Source organism: Homo sapiens, chromosome 13, assembly GCF_000001405.40.
Source record: "Homo sapiens chromosome 13, GRCh38.p14 Primary Assembly".
Classification (NCBI taxonomy): Eukaryota; Metazoa; Chordata; class Mammalia; order Primates; family Hominidae; genus Homo; species Homo sapiens.
Window position 1 is genome coordinate 98,692,284 of NC_000013.11, and position 26,768 is coordinate 98,719,051.

General features: G+C 41.9%; 1 protein-coding gene across 1 annotated transcript in view, besides 1 other annotated feature; it reads right to left on the minus strand.

The window, feature by feature from the left end:
• SLC15A1 (solute carrier family 15 member 1) overlaps positions 1-26,768 on the minus strand; it is a 68,872-nt gene that overhangs the window by 8,483 nt on the left and 33,621 nt on the right. Inside the window, exons 9-18 of the mRNA NM_005073.4 lie at positions 23,595-23,677; positions 20,215-20,301; positions 19,571-19,660; positions 17,584-17,628; positions 17,459-17,491; positions 17,289-17,377; positions 16,403-16,484; positions 13,851-13,970; positions 12,006-12,152; positions 10,197-10,246 (exon numbers count right to left, since the gene is read on the minus strand). Of these exons, the coding sequence (NP_005064.1) occupies positions 10,197-10,246; positions 12,006-12,152; positions 13,851-13,970; positions 16,403-16,484; positions 17,289-17,377; positions 17,459-17,491; positions 17,584-17,628; positions 19,571-19,660; positions 20,215-20,301; positions 23,595-23,677 (826 nt within the window). The remainder of the gene's footprint in view (positions 1-10,196; positions 10,247-12,005; positions 12,153-13,850; positions 13,971-16,402; positions 16,485-17,288; positions 17,378-17,458; positions 17,492-17,583; positions 17,629-19,570; positions 19,661-20,214; positions 20,302-23,594; positions 23,678-26,768) is intronic.
• Positions 15,572-15,621: a silencer, noted in NCBI's record as "silent region_5461". NCBI's record gives its function as "represses an Ori minimal core promoter by ATAC-STARR-seq in GM12878 lymphoblastoid cells {active_cell/tissue: GM12878}" and the evidence as "EXISTENCE:reporter gene assay evidence [ECO:0000049][PMID:35858748]".

Consider the following 26,768-nt stretch of genomic DNA (forward strand, 5'->3'; position numbering starts at 1 on the left):
GCTAGGACTGCAGGAGTGCATCACCATGCCTGGCTAATTTTTAAATTCTTATATTTGCAGAGAGGGAGTTTTGCTTTATTGCCCAGGTTGGTCTTGAACTCCTGGCCTCAAGTAATTCTCCTGCCTCCACCTCCCAAAGTGCTGGGATTACAGCCATGAGCCACTAAACCCGGTCTTCCTAAACTTTCTTATAAGAGTCTTCCAACTTGCAGTAGACTCTGGGACATGCCCTACTTTGCTGATGTCTCTTTCCAGGTTGATCCTCACATTTGGCTTCCAATAAATCAAATTATTTCTGCCTCAACACCCGTAATTTTGGTCAACATGGTTATATACCCAGGAGTGAAACTGCTGAGTTTTGTAGTAAAACTCTATGTTTAACATTTCAAAGAACTGTTTTTCAAAGTGGCTGTACCATTTTAGATTTACCACCAGCAATGAATAAGGGTACTAATTTTTATTTATTTGTTTGTTTGTTTGAAGACGGAGTCTCACTTTGTCACCCAGGCTGCAGTGCAGTGGCACCAACATGGCTTATTGCAGCCTCGACCTCCCGGGGCTCAGGTGATCCTCCCACCTCAGCTTCCCGAGTAGCTGGGACACACCACCATGCCTGGCTAATTTTTGTCTTTTTTTGTAGGGACAGGGTTTTGCCATATTGCTCAGGCTGGTCTTGAAATCCTGGGTTCAAGCACTCAGCCCACCTTGACCTCTCAAAGTGCTGGGATTATAGGCATGAGCCACCATGCCCAGCCAAGGGGTCCAGTTTACCCGCATCCTTAACAACACTTGTTATTGTCTACGTTTTTTTTTTTTTTTTTTTTTTTTTTTGAGACGGAGTTTCAATCTTGTTGCCCAGGCTGGAGAGCCATGGCACAGTCTCAGCTCACTGCAACCTCCGCCTCCCGGGTTCAAGCGATTCTCCTGCCTCAGCCTCCCAAGTAGCTGGGATTACAGGCACCTGCCACCATGCCCAGCTAATTTTTGTATTTTTAGTAGAGATGGGGTTTCACCATGTTGGCTAGGCTGGTCTCGAATTCCTGGCCTCAGGTGACCTGCTCACATTGGCCTCCCAAAGTGCTGGGATTACAGGCGTGAGCCACTGCGACTGGCCTATTGCCTATCTTTTTGATCAGAACCTAGAAGGTAGGCAGTGGTATCTCATTGTGGTTTTAACTTAAATTTCCCTAAAAACTTGGAGCATATATTCATATGCTTATTGACTGGATATCTTCTTTGAAGAAATATCTATTTAAATACTGTGCCCATTTTAAAAATTGGGTTGTCTTTTTAGTACTGAGTTGTGAGAGTTCTTTATGTATTCTGGATATAAGTCCCTTATCAGATATATGATTTGTAAATATTTTCTCTCATTCTGTGGGTTGTCCTTTCAATTCTTGATGACACCATTTGCAGCACAAAAGTTTTCAATTTTTATGAAGCCCAAATTCTTTTTCCTTTTTTTGTCACTTGTGGTTTTGGTTTTCTTCTATAAATTTCATTGTTTTGGTTATGTGAAAGGAAGTAGAACCTCAGGACCCCAAAATCACTATGCCAAAGGGAAAGCGAAGCTTGGGAACAGAGTCACACAATACTGGCTTCCCTTTGTTCTCAGATAGCTGTAATTTTACAACCCTGTGTCACAGTCTCACAGTAAGCCAGCTTCCACAATGATAGAAGGCCACATATCTCCCCAGGTGGCCTCCCTCACCAATTGCTTACCCCCTAAATCTTTCAGGATTTAAGTCTTTGATCCATTGAGTTAATTTCTGTGGAGAGGATCAACTTCAGTCTTTTGCATGTGGATATCCAGTGGTCCTAGCACCCATGGTTGAAAGCTTCACAATATATAGATGAAATCTTTTTAAAGCATCAAATTATGGTCAATTATGCCCCACCGATACTCCCTTCTTGAAGTATCTTTTTCAGTATGACAGTCATGAAAAACAAGCATTGAAATGAACTGAACTTAAAGCCAGACCTTTGCATAGCTGTTTTCAAATCTTACATTGAGATTTTTAGAAATGAACAAAGTATATTTCAACCACATTATCTACACTAATGATTTCTGTACCACTAATGAATAAAAATATTTGTAAAATATTGGTTTAAGAAAACTTTTCTCATCCCCTTTATATTTATTTTTTGCATTATTTATGAAGTACATTAATTTGATGCAGTTTATATATATAATTTATAAAGGATACCATACTCATACATAGTGGGTGCATGCTCAAAATATTTTCATTACATGTGACAAAAAGTTTTAAAGAAATCACTGCCCTAGAGAAACTTCATACATGTGGACAAAGAAACAGGTAAGAATGTGAATTTTGGCATTGTTTGGCAAAATCAGAATCATCTAAATGTCTTTGACTAGAAGGAATGAATAAATAAATTGCAGTATATCCATGTAATAGAATACTATACAGTGGTTAAGTGAATGGATAAAAGATGCATTGGCTGGGCATGGTGGCTCATGCCTGTAATCCCAGCACTTTGGGAAGCTGAGGCGGGTGGATCACGAGATCAGGAGATTGAGACCATCTGGGCCAACATGGTGAAACCCTGTCTCTACTAAAATACAAAAAAAGATTAGCTGGGTGTGGTGGCATGCACCTGTAGTCCCAGCTACTCAGGAGGCTGAGGCAGGGGAACCGCTTGAACCTGGGAGGTGCAGCGAGCCAAGATCACACCACTGCACTCCAACCGGGGTGACAGAGTGAGACTCCGTCTCAAAAAAAAAAAAAAAAAAAAAGAGATGCATATATCAATATGGCTAAATACTAAAATAAAATATTTTCTAACATTATTTATAACATTGCAGAATGACATGCATGCAGGACACTCACTTTCCTATTTAGTGTAAAAATGTGCTTAACAACGTGTTGTTTATAGACATATACATACGGAACAATGTATAACATTTAAAAAGTGCATGAGAAAGATCACTATCAAACTCTCAACCAGTTATTTTTTATTTTTTAGATACAGGGTCTCACTATTTTGTCCAGGCTGGCTTCGAACTCCTGAGCTCAAGTAATGCTCCCGCCTCAGCCTTCCGAGTAGCTAGGACCACAAGCATGCACTGCTATGCCAGACCCAGTTTTTTTTGTTTGTTTGTTTAAGACAGAAGTCCCACTCTGTCGCCCAGGCTGGAGTGCAATGGTGCAATCTTGGCTCACTGCAACCTCCGTGCCCCAGGTTCAAGTGATTCTCTTGCCTCAGCCTCCCGAGTAGTTGGGATTACAGGCACACACCATGCCCAGCTAATGTTCTTATATTTTTTAGTAGAGATGGGGTTTCACCATGTTGGCCAGGCTGGTCTCAAACTCCTGACCCCAGGTGATCTGCCCACCTCAGCCTCCCAAAATGCTGGGATTACAGGCTTGAGCCACCGAGCCCTGCCCAAGCCCAATTTTTGGCTGATGCATTGCCACTTTATTCAAAAGGTTCTCCTGAAGTTAATCACTTAAGTCTTGCAGCTTACTGATACCACATAGTCAAAGGATTCCATTTTGCTTAAAATAGTATATACTCTTCCTTTAATTCACATATTGCTCAGAAGTCTGACTTCCTGAGATTCTCCGTTGTTCTATTTCTCTGTTATTTTCTGACACCAGTTTTCTAGAACTTCTCCTTTTTTGTGTTTTTTCCCTAGAGCCTCACTGAAATAATAAAACCTTTGATCCATTAAAGATTTGATGTTACCAATTAAAATTAAAAGGAAAAAAGCTTCCAGTTCATCTTTTACCACATGGGTGGGGTAGTCAAGTGTTGCTAATCTCGTGGGTCTGTCTTCTTTTCTAAGATCTCTTTGAAGACAATTTTTTTAAATGGAGCTTTGGGACTGGGCACGGTGGCTCGCAACTGTAATCCCAGCACTTTGGGAGGCTGAGGTGGGCGGATCACTTGAGGTCAGGAGTTCGAGACCAGCCTGGCCAATATGGTGAAACCCCGTCTCTACTAAAAATATGAAAATTAGCTGGGCGTGGTGGCATGTGCCTGTAATCCCAGCTACTCGGAAGGCTGAGGCAGGATAATTGCTTGAACCCGGGGGCGGAGGCTGCAGTGAGCCAAGATGGCACCAGTGCACTCCAGCCTGGATGACAGAGTGAGATTCCCTCTCAAAACAAAACAACAACAACAAAAAAAAACCCAACAACAAAAAAAGAAGCTTTAACAACACCAAAACAAGAAAGGATCCCCCAATATCAATTGCTCAAAGTTTCCAAGGTTAGGAAACATTCCTGAAGAAAGTAAAGCAACGGAAACCACATTCTGAGGCGAAAGGGAAACTCCAGAGGTGCTTCCAGCTCAGAATCAAATACAAAGACCAGGACAGGACCGGGTGACCACTGTCAGTGTGTTTCCTTCCAGATCAGCCATGGCAGCTGTGTATGAGCACGTGTGGGGGACAGGAATGATCCCAGAGAGGTGGGAGAAGGGGTGAGGGGCTGAATGGTGTCGCTCTCAAATTCACAGGCTGGAACTCTAATCCCCAGTACCTCAGAGAGGGACTGTATTTGGAGAGATTTTTAAAGGGTTTCCTCCTTTAAAGGTGATTAGGATGGGTCTTAATCCAATGTGACAAGTGTTCTCATATGAAGAGATGATTAGGACACAGCCACACACAGAGAAAGGGCCATGTGAGGACCTAGAGGGAAGGTGGCATTTACAAGCCGAGGAGACAGGCCTCAGGAGAAACCAGCCCTTCTGGCATCCTGATCTTACACTTCCAGCCTCTGGAGCTGTGAGAAAATTAATTTCTTTTCTTTTTTTTTCTTTTTGAGAGGGAGTCTTGCTCTGTCACCCAGGCTGGAGTGCAGTGCCGCGATCTTGGCTCACTGCAACCTCTGCCTCCTGGGTTCGAGTGATGCTCCTGCCTCAGTCTCCCCAGTAGCTGGGATTACAGGCACGCACCACCACGCCCGGCTAATTTTTGTATTTTTAGTAGAGACGGAGTTTCACCATGTTGGCCAGGCTGATCTTGAACTCCCGACCTCCTGATCTGCCTGCCTCGCCTTCCCAAAGTGCTGCGATTACAGGTGTGAGCCATTGCTCCTGGCCTGAGAAAATAAATTTCTATGTACATAAGCTACTCAGCCTGTACTATTTTGTCATGGCAGCCCTACTGACCTCATGGAGAAGGAAACAAAGAAGAGGAACGAAGGAACAAAAAAAAAATGGAAGACCCTCTTGCTGGCAAGATGAATACAATTATAGCCATGTTTAGTTACACTGCAGAGAAATTTGGCAACACCAAAGAGAAAGAAGACACTGAAAGCTTGATGAGCAGAAATGGAAATCAACCACAAAGACTGGCTGATGCTTTTTTTTTTTTTTTTTTTTTAAATCTTTTAGTCAAGCCTCCAAAGTTATGGAAGAAAATGGTGTCTAGCCAATGATCCAAGTGTGAGAATATAAAAAGGCAATTTCAGGCAAGCAACAACTTGGAATTGACCTCGTTTTCTCTTGACAAGATATTTGGCCATACGCTGCCGCAAAAGTAGAAAGAAGGCTGAGAAAGATGACATAAAATCCAAGAAAGAAAGGCATTAACCTGGCACACAGTGAAAAATTCTACCAGGATAGTGGTTCAGCAGGACGACAGAGCCAGTGCTCCTGTTAGCTCAAAGAATGTGCTGAAGAGTTGGTTTTTCAGGAGGAAAAGTGGATTCCCAGAATAATAGTATAATTAGGAAGCTGGTAACCTTGGAGACTGGGTAAAGGCTTATGTTTTTGTTAACAAGAGGCCAACTAGGTTACGGGGAAAAAAAATAGAAGCTGTGCAAGAAAGCCTTGGTGAAATGAAAGCAATCAAGATGGGCACCGCTGAGCAATTCATCAATGTAATAGGAGAGTCCAACGCACCTGGATAGTCAAGACATTTTCAGTTGAGGGATACATTTTCAAGGATATAAAGTAACATTTTCTCTTGCAGACTGATCACACTTTATTATGTTGTAAATAATATTTATAGGGTCATATTGTAAATCCTGTTTATGGATCTATTATTTAGACTCAGCCTAGCACAGGGAAAACAGAAACATAAATCTAATAAATATTAACAATGTGAAGCAAACAGGAGGTGAGATGAAAAGTAAAAGTCCATTTCACCACCATTTGTATTAGTAAGTTGTTTTTTGGTTTTGTTTTGTTTTGCTTTTTTGGAGACAGGGTCTCACTCTGTTGTCCAGGCTGGAGTGCAGTGGCAAAACCTTGGCTCACTGCAGCCTCCGCCTCCACAAATGTTCAAGCATTTCTTCTGCCTCGGCCTCCCGAGTAGCTGGGATTACAGGCACATGCACCATGCCTAATTTTTGTATTTTTAGTAGAGACAGGGTTTCACCATGTTGACCAGGCTGGTCTTGAACTCCTGACCTCAGGTGATCCACCTACCTCAGCCTCCCAAAGTGCTGGGATTACAGGCATGAGCCACCATGCCCAGCCTACATTCGTAAGTTAATAGACATTGTCCCAAAATATACTTAATATATTTTTTGTATACTTTTGTATATTAATAGTATACAAAATATACTATTACTGTGTGTTTTATTGCCAACTAGTAAAAGCTAAAATCAGGAATTATCAAAGTTGTAGCTACAGGGGACTGGAGACTGGGGTTGAACGTTGAGGTGAACAGGATACCTACTCTCATTCCCCCCAGTTTATTCTTATTAAATATTTATTTATAGTAAATTGGCTTTTGGGGTGCACAGTGCTATATAAATTTTAACATTATCTTGATTTATAAATACTGTCACGATCAGAATACGTAGACCCCAAAATTGTGCTACCCCATAGTCAAACCTTTCCTCCACTCCTAACCCACGCCAATCACTAATGTGTTCTGTGTCCCTGGAGTTTTTGGCTTTCTGCGAATGTCATGTAAATGGAATTATACAATTATTCTGTCAATGCCACTCTTTTGGGGGAGTGGGACTGGGCAAGAGAACAATTTCCATTTTTAACCACAGAGCTATGGCAGAAGGAACCAGTGAGCTGTCCCTCTGTTCCCCTTCTCCACATCTCCAATCACAGGTGTGAGAAAAGGAACTCCAGCCCAGGGTGGGACCAGCCCCTCCCCACACCCTCAATGTTTAAGAAATAAAAGTGTGTAATTTTTTGAGGCTGGCTTCTTCCACAGCACAATGCATTTGAAATGCATTCACATCGTTGTATCAAGTTTGTTCCCTTTTTTGCTGAGTGGTGGGTGTTTATGCATCCTCCATTGAAGGACATTTGAGTGATTTCCCATCTTCAGTGATTATAACCAGAGCTTCTATAAACATTCATGTGTGGGCTTTTATGTGAACACAAGTTTCCAGTTCTCTAGGGTAAATATCTAGGAGTGGGATGGCTGGGTCACATGGTGAGTGTTTACCTGTATAAGAAACTGCCAAACTGTTTTTCAGAGGGGCTACAGCATCTTGTCCTCCAACCAGCGATGCAGGGGAGTTCCAGGTGCCCCATATCCTCACCAACACTTGGTATTGTCAAGGTTAAAACAATTATTACAGCCACCTGATAGGTGTGTTGTAACTCATTGTGGTCTTCATTTATATTTCCCTTAATAAGACCAATGCTATTGTTCATGTGCTTATTTGTCATGTGTGTATATCTCCTTTGGTGACATAGCTGTTCAAATCTTTTGCGTTTTTAATTGGGTTATATAAAATTAAATTTAAATTAAGATTATACAGATTTGCTGTGAAAGAAGCCAGCCTCAAAAAGTTGCACACTGTATAATTCTATTTACATTGAGCTTTTAGAGTACTTTACATATTTTGGATACAAGTTCTTTGTCAAATACATGATTTCTAAATATTTTCTCCCAGTTTATAGTGAATCTTTTTATTCTCTTCAGAGTGATATTGGCTGGGTACATGTATTCAAATTTGTATTCAAATCTTAGTGTAGGCCCGCACAGTGGCTCATGCCTGTAATCCCAGCAATTCGGGAGTCTGGGGTGGGAGGATTGCTTCAGCTCAGGAGTTTGAGACCAGCATGGGCAACATAGTGAGACCCCATCTCTACCAAAAGTGAAAATTAGCTGGGTGTGGTGGTACATGCCTGTAGTCCCAGCTACTTGGGAGGCTGAGGCAGAAGGATCACTTGAGCCCAGGAGGATGAGGCTGCAGTGAGCTGTGACTACACCACTGCATTCTAGCCTGGGCAATAGAGCAAGACCCTGTCTCAAAAAAAAAAAAAAAAAAAAAAAGGGTGACATCGACAGAACAAACATTTTTAGTTTTGGTGAACTCTATCAAGTTTTTCTTCTATAGATTGTGTTTTTGATGTCATATCTAAGAACCCAAAGTCACAAGAGTTTATGTTTCTTGTATAAATTTTATAGTTTTACATTTTACTTGTAGATCTAGAATCAATTTTGAGTTTTCATATAAGATGTGTAAGAATTTAATATAATTTTTATGTATGAATTGTGTATAAGATCTGAGGTTTAGGTCAAGTTCATTTATTACATATGAATGTTCAAATGTTTCAACACTGATTGTTGAAAATACTTCCCTTAATCCATTGAACTGTCTTTGCACTTTTGACAAAAATCAGTTGGTTGGGTCTGGATTATTCATTCATGTATGGGTCTATTTCTTTGCCAATACCATTTTGTCTTGATTGCTGTAACTTTATAGTAAGTTTGAAAACTAGTGGTAGTAAGACTCTTCCAACTTAATTCTTTTTCAAAATTATTTGAGCTATTCTAGTTCCTTTGCCTTTCCATATACATTTTAGAAGCAGCTTTTTTATAAAAGCAAATAAAAATAATGCTACGATTTTGATAGGAATGGCAATAAACCTACAGGTCAGCTTGGGGAAAAATGACATCTTTACTATATTAAATCTTCTGATCAATGAATACAGCTGTCTCTCCATTTAGTTAGCTTTTCACTGATTTCTTTCATAAGCAATTTTGTAGTTTTCACCACTCAAATCCTGCACATTTTGTTAGATTTATATCTAAGTATTTCATATTCTGTGGGGGGAGATAGTATACATGAAATAGTTGTAAAATTTCAGATTCCAACTCTTCATTGCTAGTACATTGAACAGTGATGGATTTTGTTTTTGTCCTGTGTCCTGTGACTTTTCTAAATTCACTTATTGATTCTGTGAGCTTCTTTTGGTACAGTCCTGGGGACTTTCTATATAAACAATTGTCATCTATAAAGTAGAAATTTATTTATTTATATATATATATTGATTTATTTTGAGACAAGGTCTCATTCTGTCACCCAGGCTGGAGTTCAGTGGCAGGATCATGGCTCACTGCAGCCTCAACCTCCCCAAGCTCAGGTGATCCTCCCACCTCAGCCCCCTGAGTGGCTGGGATTACAGGCACACACCACCATACTCAGCTAATTTTTTTTTTTTTTTTTTTTTGAGACAGAGTCTTGCTCTGTGGGCTAGGCTGGAGTGCAGCAGCACGATCTCAGCTCACTGCAACCCCCGTCTACCAGGTTCAAGCAATTCTCCTGCCTCAGCCTCCCGAGTAGCTGGGATTACAGGCATGTGCCACCACATCTGGCTATTTTTTTTAAAAATTTTTATTAGATACAGGGTTTCACCATGTTGTCCAGGCTGGTCTTGAACTCCTGGGCTCAAGAGATCCACCTGCCTCAGTCTCCCAAAGTGCTGGGATTACAGGTGTGAGCCACCACACCCGGCCAATTGGAAATATTTTTATTTCTTCCTTTCTAATCTAGATGCTTTTACTTCTTTTTCTTGTGTCTTTGCTCTTGCAACCAGAGGATGTTTAATAGAAGTGCGGAGAGTGGAAAAATCTTACCTTGTTCCTGATCTTAGTGGAGAGCTTTTAGACTTTCGCCATGAAGCATAATATCAGCTCAAGCTTTTGTAGATGTCCTTTTTCAGGGTAAGGAAGTTCCCTTCTATTCCCAGTTTGTTGAGAGTTTTTGTCATGAATGGATGCTGAATTTTATCAAATGCTTTTTTTAATCAATTGATAAGATGACGTACAATTTCCTCTTGAGTTTACTAAGATGATGGGTTATATGGATTGATTTTTTTGGGGAATATTCAGCCAGCCTTACATTGCTGGGACAAACCCTATAATCTCATTTTATATCCTTGTTACATTTGGACTTTACTATGGGTATGCATTACTTTCATAAGAATCTGATAAAACTTAAATTTTAAAGAAATATACATACCTGATTCCATTTTCCCCTTTTTCTGGCTTCTGGTTAAGACCATCCTTTACCTGAGAGAGAAAACAGTAATGTAAAAATATTTTCAAAATAATATTCATTAGAATGAGTTCAGATGAATATTTCAGTCTTTGAGAAGGTGGTATTGACACTTATCCTAGGACCTAAGGACATGGTTACATTAGAAGGGCTCTGGAGGCCGGGCACAGTAGCTCACACCTGTAATCCCAGCACTTTGGGAGGCTAAGGCAGGAGGATCACTTGAGCTTAGGAGTTTGAGACCAGCCTGTGAGACACAGTGAGACCTTGTCTCTCTTAGAAATTAGCCAGGTGTGGTGATGCACACTTGTAGTTGTAGCTGCTCAGGAAGCTGACGTGGGAGGGAGAATCATTTGTTGAAAATTATTCTTGGGTCTGGGAGGTCGAGGCTGCAGTGAGCTGTGACCATGCCACTGCACTCCAGATGGTGCAACAGGGGGAGATCCTGTCTCAAAAAAAAAAAAAAAAAAAAAAAAAAGAAAAGAAAAAGAGGGTTTCTGGGCCAGGCATGGTGGTTCATGCCTGAAATCCCAGAGCTTTGGAAGGATCTCTTGGGGCCAAGAGTTTGAGACCAGCCAGGCAGCATAGTGAGATCCTGTTGAAAGTGAAAGGAAGAAAGAGAAAGAATGAAAGAATGGATGGACGGACAGAAGGAAGGAAGGAAGGGAGGGAGGGAGGGAGGGAAGGAAGGAAAGGAAGGAGAAAAGAGAAGAAAAGAGAAGAGAGAAAAGGAAGGAAGGAAGAAGAAAGAAGAAGGGCTCCATTTCTTCAGCCTTGATTTTCTTTAAAGCTAACATGAGCCTCTACAATTTTTGATCATTGGTTGCCGGTGCTTCCACAGAACACTACTGTCCAAAACTTTAGAACAAGCCACTCAGCAGCTCCCTAATTAAGCAAATGACCAAGAGTCTTAATTCCATATTGCAGTTCCGTAGAAGCTCACTGAAATGCACTTTACAGAATGCCCACAACTCTACAACTCTTTCATTTAGCTCAACTATACCTTTGTAGCTGCTGCTGCTGCTTTTTTTTTTTTTTTTTTTTTTTTTTTTTTTTTTTGAGACAGGGTCTTGTTCTGTCACCCAGGCTGGAGCACATTGGCATGAACATGGCTCACTGCAGCCTCTACCTCCTGGGCTCAAGCAATCCTCGCACCCCAGCCACCCAAGTAGCTGGGACGACAGGCATGCACCACCACACTCAGCTAATTTTTAAAATTTTTGTAGAGACAGGGGTCTCACTGCGTTGTCCAGGCTAGGTTTCACAGCTTTTTATGTGCGAATGACATATTTAGATCTCTGTATTTTCTCATCAAATATTTTGTATGCATAGTATTTTATTGCTTTTACCTGGTAGGCTTATTATACTTTTTCAGAGACTGCTCTAATTTTCTGACTATTTAGTGCAAATTTTTAAATTCAGTGCAATTAATTATATATTTTAAATTATCTGAAAAAGTCCCTGAGAATTCACATATGTACTCTGTGTGACTTCTGTACACACACGCATGCACATCTGTGCACAGACCCCATACAATGTCCAGAAGTTGTCTTTTTAGAAATTTCAATTAATATTAACTTTTACTATCCACCAGTCATACTTTTATTGGAAGTCTGACAGGTGTTCTTGAAGTCTTGTGTTCCAGAAGAAGGAAGAAATTGAGGATGATCTAATATAACACTATATGGGAGTAAAACAAAGTCACACCATAAAAATTTTGGCCTCCAGTATCACAAATAGCAAAGAGTCAGCTGTAGGTCTTCACACACTTACCACCTGGTAGTGATTGGGGGCCCACACTAGAAGCGTGTGGCGTTGGCCCTGCTTGAAGTCGTCAGTTACAGCAGTGACTGGTGATCCAGGAGAAGAAATGTTTATCCTTGTCAGTTTGTTTACATCAAAAGTCATAAATGCATTTGTCTATAGAGGGAGGGAAAGAGGCATAGTTAATATCACAGAGTCTCGGCACTATGCAACTGAACGCTGGAAGAGCAGTTATCTGATATTCTGCATTTCCAGGTTCATGTTCATAGATACCAAAAAAATGCCTGTGGGGAGTTGGCCTTTATTTGCCTCAGCTTCCCACCCACCCTTACAGACACCGTCATGAGGTTTTTGGTACCACCACAGGAACCATACTTTTCACCAAGCATCTTACTTTTATTTTGCTTTTATCAAAAATAAATACTATGAGAATAATTTCTACTGTTAGGCAAAGAACAGCACCAGAGCAAAAGCAACAGCCCTGGTAAAAATCAATACTGGGCTGCTCCAAGCATTAGGAATCGGGCTTTTTGTTTTTACCTTCAAGATTATTAGTTTCACAAGGTCTAAGGTTGTGGTGCTCAACCATGGCTAAACAGGAACGAGACTGGCTAAATCTCAACATCTCTGGGGCTAGGGCTGGGCGCGGTGGTTCATGCCTGTAATCCCAGCACTTTGGGAGGCTGAGGCAGGCCAATCTCTTGAGGACGGGAGTTTGAGACCAGCCTGGCCAACATGGCAAAATCCTGGCTCTATTAAAAATACAAAAATTAGTTGGGTGTGGTGGTTCATGCCTGTAATCCCAGCTATTTAGGTGGCTAAGGCATGAGAATCGCTTAAACCCAGGAGGCAGAGGTTACAGTGAGCCAAGATAGCGCCACTGCACTCAAGCCTGGGCGACAGAGTGAGGCTCTGTATTTAAGAAAAAAAAAAAAAAAAAGGGATCTCTGGGGCTGGGACCCAGGTATCAAAATTTTCAAAGCTCTCCGGGTGATTCTGACATGGGCTGGAGGTTGAGTACCACGAATCCAGAACAAGGGTGATCTAGAGCAGGGTTTTCCATCCTTGGCACTGTGAACATTTGGGTCACGTAATCTTTGTTATGGAGAGCTGTATGTCAGCATCCCTGGCTTCTACATGAGATGCCAGCAGCATACTCCCAGTTGCTACAACAAAAAATGTCTCCAGAGATGGCTAAATGTCCCCTAGCATCAAAATCTCCCCCAGTTTAGATCCTTGATCTGGTGGTTCCAGGCTCCAGCAGCAGCAGCATTCCTGAGAGCTAGTTAAATGCAGCATTTCAGGCCTGCTGATTAAAAATCTGCATTTTGGCTGGGTATGGTGGCTCACACCTGTAATCCCAACACTTTGGGAGGCTGAGGTGGGTGAATCACCTGAGGTCAGGAGTTCAAGACCAGCCTGGCCAACATGGCAAAACCCTGTCTCTACTAAAAATACAAAAATTAGCTGGGTGTGGTGGCACACACCTGTAATCCCAGCTACTCAGGAGGCTAAGGCAGAAGAAATGCTTGAACGTTTGTGGAGGCAGAGGCTGCAGTTAGCCAAGATTTTGCCACTGCACTCCAGCCTGGGTGACAGAGCAAGACTCCATCTAAAAAAAAAAAAAAAAAAATTCTGCATTTTAACCAGCTCCCTGGGCAATCTGCATACACAACAAACAACATAGTGTGGAGCACACTGGTTTAGAATATAGCCAACATGAGATCAAGATCCTTAGTTCACTTCTGGGCTGGCCTTGGCATTTATACAAGGACCAAGAAAAACAGCTTCTCTAAATCCTATTATAACAGGGTCAGAAGATGAAAAAGAAGGCAGCAATTTCCTTCTACTTACTTGAGACATTGGGCCAAGTGTCACCATCTCTCCAGGAAGAGATATATTCATGGTATTGTTTCCTATATTCAAAACTTTAATTTGGACTTCGTTTCCTTTGGGGAAGACTGGAAGAGTTTTCTGAGCAAAATAAAAGAAAATTGGCAGTGAGGTCTTCAATACAACATGGAAAGTCATCTTAACCCTGACAAGGGGGTGCTTTCCTCCAGCTGGGAAAAGCTGCGCTGGCTGAAACACGCCAGGTGTCTCCCACTAAGCTGCCAATCACAGACCTCGTGGCACCCACAGAAATGACTTTTGCACGGAATACTGAAGTGATATGGTTTGGCTGGGTCCCCACCCAAATCTCATCTTGAATTGTAGATCCCATAATTCCCGGGTGTTGTGGGAGGGAATCAGTGGGAGATAACTGAATCGTGGGGGTGGCTTCCCCCGTACTGTTCTTGTGGTAGTGAGTAAGACTCACAAGATCAGATGGTTTTATAAGGGAAAACCCCTTTCGCTTGGCTCTCTTTCTCTTTTTGCCTGCAGCCATGCAAGATGTGCCTTTCACCTTCTGCCATGACTGTGACGCTTCCCCAGCCATGTGGAACTGTGAGTCCATTAAATCTCTTTTTCTTTGTAAATTACCCAGTCTTGGGTACGTCTTTATCAGCAGCATGAGAATGGACTAATACGTGAACGAGTCAGAAAGATGCTGCTCTTATCTTATCTAGCCACTTCCAGGTCAAGGGCTGCCAAGATACGAAGCCAAATATCTGATGGCTCTGAGTCACTATAACCTAAACAAATATCCTTCTTGTCATGACACCTGAGATCTACCGTCACCCGACTCCAGTGTTCTACTGTAAGTCTGGAAGCCCAGTCCCCAGCCCTAGACGCAGCAGTGTACACATCTCACAAATGCCTGATGCTCTCCTGCCTCCATACCTTTGTTCAGAGTTTTTGTCTTTTTTCTACAATGCCCTCTTTCAAAACCCAGTGTCACTGAAGCAAGCCATGTCCACCTTAGCCCACAATTCATCTTCCACAAAGCTAGCTATGTCCAAGAGGAGCGTGAGTACAGCCATGTTCATGGCGGCACTGTTTGCAATAGCCAAAAGGTGCAGGTAACCCAAGTGCCTGTCGGGGGTGAATGGATGAACAATGTGGTGTATACACACAATGGGTTTAGTATTCAGTTTACAAAGGAAGGAAATTCTGACACAGTCTACAACAGGAGGAACCTTGAAGACAATATACTAAGTGAAATTAGCCAGTCACAAAAGGACAAATACCATATAATGCCACTCATAGGAAGTGCTAGAGTAGTCAGATTCATAGACTCAGAAAGTAGAATGGGGGTTGATGGGGCTAGGGAAAGGGGAAATGGGAGTTGTTTAATGGGTACAGAATTTCAGTTTTGTAAGATGAAGAGTTCTGAAGGTTGACTGCACAACAATGGAAAGGTACTTAACGCTACTGAACTGTACACTTAAAAATGGTTAATATGTGACCGGGCATGGGGGCTCATGCCTGTAATGCCAGGACTTTGGGAGGCTGAGGTGGGAGGATTGATTACCAGCCTGAGCAACACAGGGGGACCCTGGCTTTACAAAAAAATTTTAATAAATTAGTCGAGTGTGGTGGTGCATGCCTACAGTCCTAGCTACTCAGGAGGCTGAGGTGGGAGGATCGCTTGAGCCCAGGTGTGGCTGCAGTGAGCATGATCGCACCACTGCACTCCAGCAGCCTAGGCGACAGAGTGAGACCCTGTTTAAAAAAAAAAAAAAAAAAAAAAAAAAAAAAGAATACGGTAAATGTTATGTTATATATATATATATTTACTGCAATTAGTTTTTTTTAAATTTAAAGATATTAAAAGAGCTGCTCTGCCTGTGGAGTAGCCAGTCTTTATTCCTCTACTTTCTTAATAAACTTGCTTTCACTTAAAAATATAAACAAAGATATTAAAAGGGTGGGGGAGGGAAGGAACGAGAGAAAGACAGAGAGAGAGAGGCAAAGAGAGGGAGGAAGTGGTGGGGAATGGTGGGGAGAGGGAAGAGACCCTTACCCACCACATAACCCTGTTTCTAGGAACTGATCTCAGACTACCAGCATTAGTCTAGTTTAGCCCACTGCGAGTCCAATAGATGTGTGGATTAACTGAGAAACCAATCCTTTTTAGAAACACTAGAATTCAAAATACATTCTCACATCAAAAAGACCATTTACACACATTTGAAGTGATGCTTGTTTGTAAGTGATGAACTTCTTTTAACCAGATTCCCTGGGAGTTCAGATTGTGAAGGAACACATTCTGTAAACTTCTTTTCCATTATAAAAACTGTATTATAAATGCAAGCTACTTATGTAAGCCTTTTTCCCCTGCTGAAGCCCACCCACTGTACCCTCACACCCATGGTGCCTCCCACTGCCCACAGCTCCAGGGCTCAGTTTACAGAGAAAGACCTTGGCCTCCCCTAATCCCCTTCATGCTGAAGAAAGAAGATTCTGAACGCTCCACCTAAATCCACCAGGAAAGGACATGGGAGAACCAGGGGACAACTCACATCGATTTCCACCTGCACGATGGCAGCCACCACAAAGGCCATGGAGGCCAGGACCATGCCAACTGCCATCTTCTTCAAGGAGCTGATGGCACAAGAGAAGAGTGACTCTCAACCAGTTTCACATAGATGAGCTAAGCTAAACCCCCACCCCCACCATCCCCCCAACAAAACTAAATTCCTTCCAAAAACATGGGCTTGAAAGCACCTCTCCCCATCTTGGTCATGGATTCATGAGGATTCAAGGAGGATAAGTGGAATATAGCTTCTTGTTTGCATATTTACTTTTTTTTTTTTTTTTTTGAGACAGAGTCTCTTTCTGTCACCCCGGCTGGAGTGCAGTGGCACAATCTCAGCTCACTGCAACCTCTGCCTCCTAGCTTCAAGCAATTCTCATGCCTCAGCCTCCAGAGTAGCTGGGATTACAGGTGAGTGCCACCACACCCAGCTTATTTTTCGTATTTTTAGTAGAGATGGGAATTTGCCATGTTGGCCAGGCTGGTCTCGAACTCCTGACCTCAAATGGTCTGCCTGCCTTGGCCTCCCAAAGTGCTGGAATTACAGGCGTGAGCCACTGTGCCTGGCCTGTATATTTACATTAATTTCTAGAAACTATGGTTCAGGTGATACTCCAGATTACAATGACCATTCCTATCATCTGCGTAGAGAAGAAAGCCTTGATTAAAGGCCTTTTCAGGCTGTCAATCACAGCATTTTTATTTTAAAGAACATTTTCAGAAACATCAGCACACGAACATTTGTTTTCTTCATTCTTCAAAACCCTATCCTCTAGGCGAGGTTGCGGGAAGGGCTGCAGGCTGAGCGCAGCCCATCTGCAAAGCCCTGGGACCAAGGGAGCCTCAACCAACCCAACCCACCCGTCACCTACGTGAAATTGAAGCCACATTTTGCAATGAGAGGGTACAGCACAGCATCGAAGATCGGGACCATGATCACGATCAGGATGGCGTTCACGGTCTGCAGAGGAAGTGGAGGAGAAATGTTAAGCTTGTCTCAAAGACGACTCTGATCCCTGAAAGCAACTTACATGTCTTCTACCTGCATCTGATCGGGCTGAATTTCAAGAGCTCCCTAAAAAGAGAGGAAAACAATCTCAGTGAAAAATGTCATGAAAGGGAAGAAGAAAGGGGACAAAGAAACTAAAACAAAGGAGTCAAACTTACGATTTTCCCGGACATAGTTGTTGCCTGCAGTGTCCACCTGGAGCCCTTAAAAATGAATACATTTGCTGTATTATTTGGGGATGTGGGTTTTTAAAATTTTACAAGTCAATGGTGAGTCTTTTCCAAATCAGGAATGAGGTCTGACATGTTATGGGATTTAAAGTTGTTTTAAACATCAAGTTAATCTCCCAGCTCTATTATAATACTAGGTCAAAAGAAACCAGTTGCATTTCTAGCGTACGAGTGAACACAATACGGAGTGCTCCAACCCCTCCTGAAGCTGCACAAAGCAGTACCCTGAGATGAAGCTATCCCTAGGAAATACAAAAATGCATTTCTGAGGCTCGTTGGAAAGCATGGCATCGTCTGCAAGGTAAAAGTAGCTGTGCGTGTTGCAGATGGTCCATATTCACTGCCATCCAAGATTCACAAATATTATTGTTAACAGCCATTTTGACAGTCTAGGCTGGCTGCACCTAGATCTCCATCAAGAGAGTGGTGGATTTATACCTGGGCAGCCCCTTTACAGTCAACCTATTTCACAGTGAAAGAGGACACAGGACTGTACAGGTAAATATGATTATGTCTATGGAAGACTAAACATGTAAATGCTTCCGTATGAATCCATCAACTCCACTAGAAAGACATCATAGAAAGTCAGGAAATTGGCCAGGTGCAGTGGCTCACACCTATAATTCCAGCACTTTGGGAGGCCGAGGCGCGTGGATCACCTGAGGTTAGGAGTTGGAGACCGGCCTGGTCAACACAGCAGAACCCCGTCTCTACTAAAAATTAGCCAGATGTGGTGGCAGGTGCCTGTCATCTCAGCTGCTCAGGAGGCAGAGGCAGGAGAATCGCTTGAACTTGGGAAGTGGAGGTGGCAGTGAGCCAAGATAGTGCCACTGTACTCCAGCTTGGGCAACAGAGTGAGACTCTTGACTCAAAAAAAAAAAAAAAAAAAAAAAAGAAATCTACCCCTGTTTGAGTTCTTCATACAGGCCAGTCACTGAGTACCTTATGGATGTTCTCACACTGGACCCTCACAGCCTTGCGGAGGGTGATTAGCACCCTTTGGAAAATGTTAAGGGTTATTACAGTGACTCAAGTCTCACAGCTACCAGGTGAGGAGTGTGTTTCCAGTGACCGGCTCCTGTCCGCATGCAGCACTGCCTCCCGGGTCTGTCTGACACATCTCAATCTCCTACTTAAAATGAGGAGATGAATGTGTACACTCACATTTCTCCCAAGCAATGGCTTATCCCTATCACCATCCTCCCTGCTCAAACCACATGTGTTCATATATATTTTTTTAACTCCATTTCCTAAGAGAAACAATAGCTATTTTTTCATTCTGTAAACCAGGATTGATCTTTAAAAACAAACACTTTCCAATTGCTTTGGTTACTGAGCCCCATGCACTGAGTTGTCTAACACGATTGTGAAAAATTCCTGGGTATGTGTCTTAGGGCTGTGGTAGAAAGAGACAACAGGTCACCTGCCAGGTTGTAGGTCCCTGCTTGGAGAGGAGTCATTTTTCACCCCAGGATGGTACTTCTAGCCCAAGCATTCCATCTTACAGTGGAAGAGATCAAGTCCCTCTCCATTTATGTATGGGCTCCATAAAAGGCAATGTAACTTGTTACCACGCTGTATTGGTAGGAAAACAAACTCTTGACTCTCAGTTTTGATTGGAAGAGTGCTGGATGAAATCTTTCCCAAGGCTACTTGACTTGACCTCATGTAATTGTCTTCATTGTTAGCAACAGAAATGTGGATAGAACTACCTAGAATTGCTTTTGGTTTTGTTTTGTTTTGTTTTGTTTTTTACAATAAACTCAATGTGATCTAACAATTAAACAAGTGAAATATAAATAAGAAACTGGAGGAGAACTTTTTAGATGTGAAATATGAAGTGAGCCTTGGTACCTGGCAGTGCGGGATGTACGCTTGCTCCGTGAAGAAGAGCACAAGCAGAGTTTCACATTACCTGCTGGTCAAACAAGGCCCAGAACATTGGGAGTGGAATATACAGGAACATCACCCTCGTAACCATCTTAATTTGGGAGATGAGCCGCTCCTGTAGTTGGAGTGGGGAAGGGACAAATCAGCCACACCCTGTGTCCTGTGCCACTCACGGCTTACAGGTGCTGCTGATTTCAGTGGAGACACAGATATTTGCATCTAGAGGCAAGCTGGGAGGTGATTAATCCAAAACATACTGCCGCAGTTTTCTTTAGAAAATCGAAAATGTCTAAACTATTTAAAATATGAGTGAAAACATCTATTTAGGAGGTAAATTACGTGAATTTACTAAATGTAAATCCCACCACCGCCGTCACCACCTCTTGACTCTCCTATATTCAAACTAAGGTTATGTGATCCCAATTACATATAATTAATGCCAGATTATACCAAATGAAAAACTATGAAAAGGTAATATTATTTCCAGATCTATTTATCAAGTTCTTTCAATTAAAAAAATGCACTCATGCATAGTTTTATTTAATATGCTGTAAAGGTTAGGAAGGTATCACTGACCATTTTGTCCATGTAACCTTAATCTGAATTGAGATTTTTCAGTGTTCACTTCCTGGGGGAATCAGGGTCATTGTAGCAATGACCGTTACTTACATCGTATTTCTCTTTAGCCCAGTCCAGCCAGTGCTCCCTCTTGGGAAATGCCTTACTCCGATGCCTAAATCTATTTTTGATGGCAAACTGAAGGAAGGAAGAAAAATCGAATTTCAAAACAGGACCAACAACTTTGTCAGGGAAGCACATTTCAATTAAACTACCTTTAGGAGAAAAATATACGTGTGAGAAAAGCAAAATATACAATTGTATCTACTAGTATATGAGTACTTATTTCTATTAATAGTCTCTGTCCAACTAAGAGCGTTTGAGTTGGGGTGAACAGAATTAAGCTGTGTCCACTTTACTCTCCAGATCCTCTAGAGAAGCACGCCCAATAGAAATACAACACGTGTTTGCAATTTAAGTTTTCTAGTAGCCAGCTTAAAAAGTGAAACAGGTGAAATTCATTGTACATACATTTGTATAACATGATAAACCCCACTATGATTTTAATAGGTAATCAATATTTAAAAATTAATAAGAATTTTTACCTTCTTCTTCCATATTGTCTTCAAAATCCAGAGAATATTTTACACTTATGACATAATCTCAGTTTATTTGTTTGTTTGTTTTTGAGACAAGGTCTTGCTCTGTCGCCTAGGCTGAAATACAGTGGCACTGTCTTGGCTCACTGGAGCCTTGACCTCCCAGACTCAAATGATCCTCTCAGCTCGGCCTCCCAAGTAGCTGGGACCACGGGTATGTACCACCATGCCTGGCTAATGTTTTAATTTTTTTTTTAATGGAGACAGGGTTTTGCCATTTTGTCCAGACTGGTCTCAAATTCCTGAGCTCAGGCGATCCACTCGCCTCAGCCTCCCAAAGTGCTGGAGTGGCATTAGCCACCATGCCTGGCCAGCATATCTCAATTTGGATGCTAGATTTTTATTAGAAATACTTGATCTGTATTTAGGTTTTATAAAGTTTGTGTTTGAAAAACCAGATTTACACACTAAGTTGTTTCAAACATACTTAAAATCCTTCCAATAACTGAACTATTAGTTTTTAAGAGTAAGAACACACTACAGAGAAATACATTTATTAAAAAATTAAGGCTATAGGGAAACATATTTTAAGATATAATAACACAGGTCAGAAAAATACGATGGCCCACCCATCATAAAATTAGGGGCCACTAAGATTCCTTGTTAGTGTTGTTTAGGAAAAAGGCCTTTGGGAAGAGCAAAGTGCATTTGCAAAGACACAGCAAGAGGTGAGGCTGGTGGAGGCTGGAGGCATGAGCGTGATCGAAAGGCAGTAAGTTGGCCAGGCGCAGTGGCTCACACCTGTAATCCCAGCACTTCAGGAGGCTGAGGTGGGCGGATCACTTGAGACCAGGAGTTCAAGACCATCCTAGCCAACATAGCAAAACCCTGTCTCTACTAAAAATACAAAAATTAGCTGGGCGTGGTAGTGTACGTCTATAGTCTCTGCTATTTGGGAGGCTGAGGCTGAGGCAGGAGAATTGCTTGAATCTGGGAGACGGAGGTTGCAGTGAGCCGAGATCGTGCTACTACACTCTAGCCTGGGTGTCAGAGTGAGACTCTGTCTCAAAAAGGAAAAAAAAAAAAAAAAGAAAAGTAAGTCAAAGCTACAGGCTGACTTTAGGATACTTCGCAATATAGTTCTCATGACCCTAAATAGCTTGAAGTTGTTCTTCTGGAGTTTGAACTAAGTTGTCAATGACTTGTTAAGGAAGGACTTGGATGGGTAATTGGTAAGGTCCCCTCTTTGCTTGGAAAAAGCTTTTTGGTGGGAACAGTTCTAATGTGAGAAGAAAACAGTACAGCTGTCCTTGAAGGGATTTTTTTGACAGGGAGAGGGCACATTTATTTCAAAAAGTGAAATACAACACAATACAACAATCTAATAGTACAATACAATTGAAATATAATACAATAATCCCAGCACTTTGGGAGGCTGAGGCGGGCGGATCACCTGAGGTCAGGGGTTTGAGACCAGCCTGGCCAACATGGCAAACCCTGTCTCTACAGAAATAGAAAACTTAGCCAGGTGTGGTGGTGTGTGCTTATAGTCCCAGCTACTTGGTAGGCCGAGGCAGGAGAATCGCTTGAACTGGGAGGCAGAGGTTGCAGTGAGCTGAGAGTGCACCACTGCCCTCCAGCCTGGGCGACAGAGCAAGACTCCATCTCAAAAAAAAAAAAAAAAAAAGAAATGAAATATAATACAATAATCTAACGCAATAAGGCCAGGTAAGATAAAGTAAGTGATCTAAAATTATCTTAAGGCTGCCTTTTCATCCATAAGATTCACACATGTGATTTTTTTTTAATAAATGACACATTTACCTCCAGTTATACAACATATACAGTATGTTCACTAAAAAAATGGGGAGTGTATAAGGAAAAAAATCATTTGATTCCATTATCTAAGGATTCTACTCTCAACATTTATTTCCCACCCATAAATGTATGTGTATATGCATATCCTATGGAGGTACTTATGGAAGAAACCATATTCTGCACATTCCTATTACTACATATTCCTTAAAAACAAGACTGCTCCCGGCTGCATGCTATGCCAGAGATGAACTGTAAGTTCAGCACTGTCTTCCTATTTGCAGCAATTTGTGGGCTTACATTTTTGCTATTATAAGTATTACAATGATAATCTTTGTACATGAGTCTGTGTTCACTTTTTAAATATTTTTTTCTTACTCTAGTTTTGTTTTGAGACAGAGTCTCCCTCTGTCGCCCAGGCTGGAGTGCAATGGCACAATCTCGGCTCACTGCAACCTCTGCCTCCCAGGTTCAAGCAATTCTCCTGCCTCACCCTCCAGAGTAGCTGGGATTACAGGCACCCGCCACCATGCCTGGCTAATTTTTGTATTTTTAGTATAGACAGGGTTTTGCCATGTTGGCCAGGCTGGCCTCGAAGTCCTGATCAAGTGATCCGCCCGCCTAGGCCTCCCAAAGTGCTGGGACTACGGGCATGAGCCACAGTGCCTAGCCTATTTTCTTACTCTTAATTCTTGAAAGCAGCATGACTGACTTGAAGCAACTGAACACCTGAGACTCTTGCTACACATTGCCAAATTGAGCCTCCCCATTTTTGATTCACTGCTCCCTGACAAACCTCAAGCACTGTTCTGCCATTTCGACAGATGAAGAGTCACTTTGATTTGCTTTTCTTTGACCATTGATCTTATTTTATAAGCTCAAGAGCCATTTCTATTCTTCCCTTATTAAGTTCTGTTTGTGTCTTTTTGCATTTAGAAGAAGCTACAATTTACTGAAACAGTTAAGAACACTAAAAATATATTTAAAGGAAAGTCAAAGCTTAAATTTTAATTTAAAGAAAGTAGAAGGTTCTGAGGTGGTTAAATAGCCTTGAGAAAGAGCAGCTGAGATACTTACACCGATGCACTTGGCCACTTTACCCATGATGTTGCCCTGTGGCTTGAACTTCTTGTACATCCCACTGCCAAGGACAAACACAACTAGATAGGGCAGAAGAAGACATGTCAGCAAAGCATGTGACCGAGCGCCCTGTGGCCTAGAGAGATGCGCCTTTATTTGAATTATAACTTTGTTTTGGGATAATGGGATTACTTATGGAATGGGTTTACCTTCCAACCTCACAGTTTAGAAAGTGCTTTTAACTCTCACAATCCACAAAAACCTCTGAGTAACGTTAGGTTTGTCTTCTAATATGCAACCTGTAAGCCTAATATCATCTACTTCCCATAGCTTAAGGTAGCTCACGTACACTCACACAGCTATTTAAGCACAAGTTCTATCTCTATTTAAAGGGAGACAAAAGGAATCAGTACTTTCATATAACACATTAAAGTACTATTCTACTAAGACAATAAATGGGGCCAGGCGCGGTGGCTCAAGCCTGCAATCCCAGTACTTTGAGAGGCCGAGGTGGGCGGATCACTTGAGGTCAGGAGTTTGAGACCAGCCTGACCAACATGGTGAAAACCCGTCTCTACTAAAAACACAAAAATTAGCTGGGTGTGGTGATGGGCACCTGTAATCCCAGCTACTCGGGAGGCTGAGGCAGGAGAATTGCTTGAACCCAGGAGGTGGAGGCTGCAGTGAAATGAGATCGTGTCACTGCACTCCAGTCTCGGTGACAGAGTGAAACTCCATATCAAAATAATAAAAATAAAAATAAATGGAGCTGTAATCTTCTGAATGCAATGGGAAGAGAAACCTTTTTCTTTCTCTTTTTAATATTCAGGAAAAAAGAATTAATCTTAATCATATGTGGCAGAAATTTTTTCTGTGGTCACTGTACAGAAGCAGTTAAAATTAATTGCATCTGCAGCTACAGTTTTACAAAAGTTAGAAGCACCTTTTCAATGAGGTCATTCTTCCACGGACCTTTTTGGCAAGTCATATTGTGAAAATAACTTAGAAAAAAACCATTCTAGGGCTGAGTGTGGCAGCTCATGTCTGTAATCCCAGCATTTTGGGAGGCCAAGGCAGGAGGATCACTTGAGACCAGTAGTTCAAGAGCAGCCTGGGCAACATAATGAGATCCTATCTCTATCATCTTATTAAAAAATTTTTAAAAATTTAAAGCATTGTTGCAAGTATATCTGAAAACATAGTCCATATACTAGGATTTCTGATTATCCAATACCACAGTTCAATAATTTAAAAACACCGATAGCTTGAATTCTACTTATTTTTCTCAATTAAGAGGGTCTGAGATTTTTGACAGGTGCTAGCTCCAAGTATGTGCCTATAATATAGATGTTCTTTATAGCTGATAAAAGAGATGTTTACTTATATTCTTGCCCAATGTCAACATTTCTGAATGCAGACATGGATGGTAAAGATGTCCAAGAGATTGAGTCTATGTTTTCTTTTACCACTAATATTTAATCTTTAAGCTTCTGATTAACTGAAACCTAATTCAAGCGTAGGAATTTCTAGAGGCAGTGTTGACACATCGGATTTGGCCTGTTCTCAATTCCTCCAGAAGAAAAAGCATAATCGTTGATAGAGGAATGACTTGTACAGATGAGATAACAATGTACCTAACGTGCTTAATACAGTGTCTGGTGTAAAGCAAGACTTTTGGAAATGCTCTCTGTCTCCTGCCAAGAATTAGAGAGGAGGAGGTATCAATGAGCCTGCTAGGGGACGGTGGCAGTATGGGAAGAACCATGGAAGAAAAGAGACATTAAAAAGAGGAGAATACTGAGCTCTCACCTAAATGAAAGGGGAAAGCTAAATTGCTACACTGTGAGCAAAAGAGATTGAAAACGGTCCTATTCCATGTACTACTAAGATCTGAAAACAAAAATTGGAGAGAGAGACGTGATTGTCAGCTGAGCAAAGCTGATGACAACCTCATTTGAGTGGGAGAAGGGGCTCTGAAGAGTTGAGGTGGCCGCTGGGCTGTTTTCTTTTTGCACCGTTCTTGGCCACCTTTCACATCCAAGCATCCCATGTAGAAAACGCCACCTTTCCTAAAAGCCAATGCCAAGAACTAATGTGCCAATGAATGCCTCGAATAGACATATATGTTCTGTCCAGTGGGAAAGAATTCTAGTAGAAACATATGGGGGGCGGGGGGAGGTGATACTAGTTTGGTGCAAAAGTTATTGCGGTTTTTGCCATTACTTTTAATGGCAAGAGCTGCAATTACTTTGGCACCAACCTAATCAATTATGGAAATGTAGATGTTCATTGGAGTGTTTCAGTGGCAACTGAACCAGGTTGCCATTTCTTCAAGCAAGTTATAGATACGTACATGTTGACAAGAACAAAAGCTTTTAGCCTTGGGTTCAGCTAATCCAGCAGATTCTATCACCTTCATCTTTTTTTTTTTTTTTTTTTTTTTTTTTTTTTTTTTTTGAGACAGGGTCTTGCTCTATCATCCAGGTTGCAGTGTTATGGTGCAATCATGGCTCACTGCAGCCTCGACCTCCCAGGCTCAAGCAATCCTTCCACTTAAGCTTCCAGAGGAGCTGGGACTACAGGTATAAGCCACAGCACCCAGCTAATTAAAAAAACAAGCAAAACAAATAAACAAAAACAACAACAAAAAAACCAGCTAGGTGTTGTGTCTCATGCCTGTAATCCCAGCACTTTGGGAGGCTGAGGTGGGTGGATCACCTGAGGTCAGGTGCTCGAGACCAGCCTGGCCAGCATGGTGAAACCCTGTTGCTACTAACAATAAAAAATATGTGGTGGCCGGTGCCTGTAATCTCAACTACTTGGGAGGCAGAGCCAGGAGAATCGCTTGAACCCAGGAGGCGGAGGTTGCAGTGAGCTGAAATCACACCATTGCACTCCAGCCTGGGCGACAAGAGCAAGACTCTGTCTTTTTGTTTGTTTGTTTTAGAGGTAGGGTCTCTCTCTGTTGCCTAGGCTGGACTTGAACTCCAGGCTGGTCTTAAACTCAAGGGATCCCCCTGCCTTGGCCTCCCAAAGTGCTGGGATTACGGGCATGAGTGACCATGCTGGGCCTCTCTCACCTTCATCTTAATCTGCCTAAATAGTATTACACCTTTCAATGACCAACTCAGTTGGTTCCTTTTCCTGTAATTCTTTTTTTGATCCTATTCC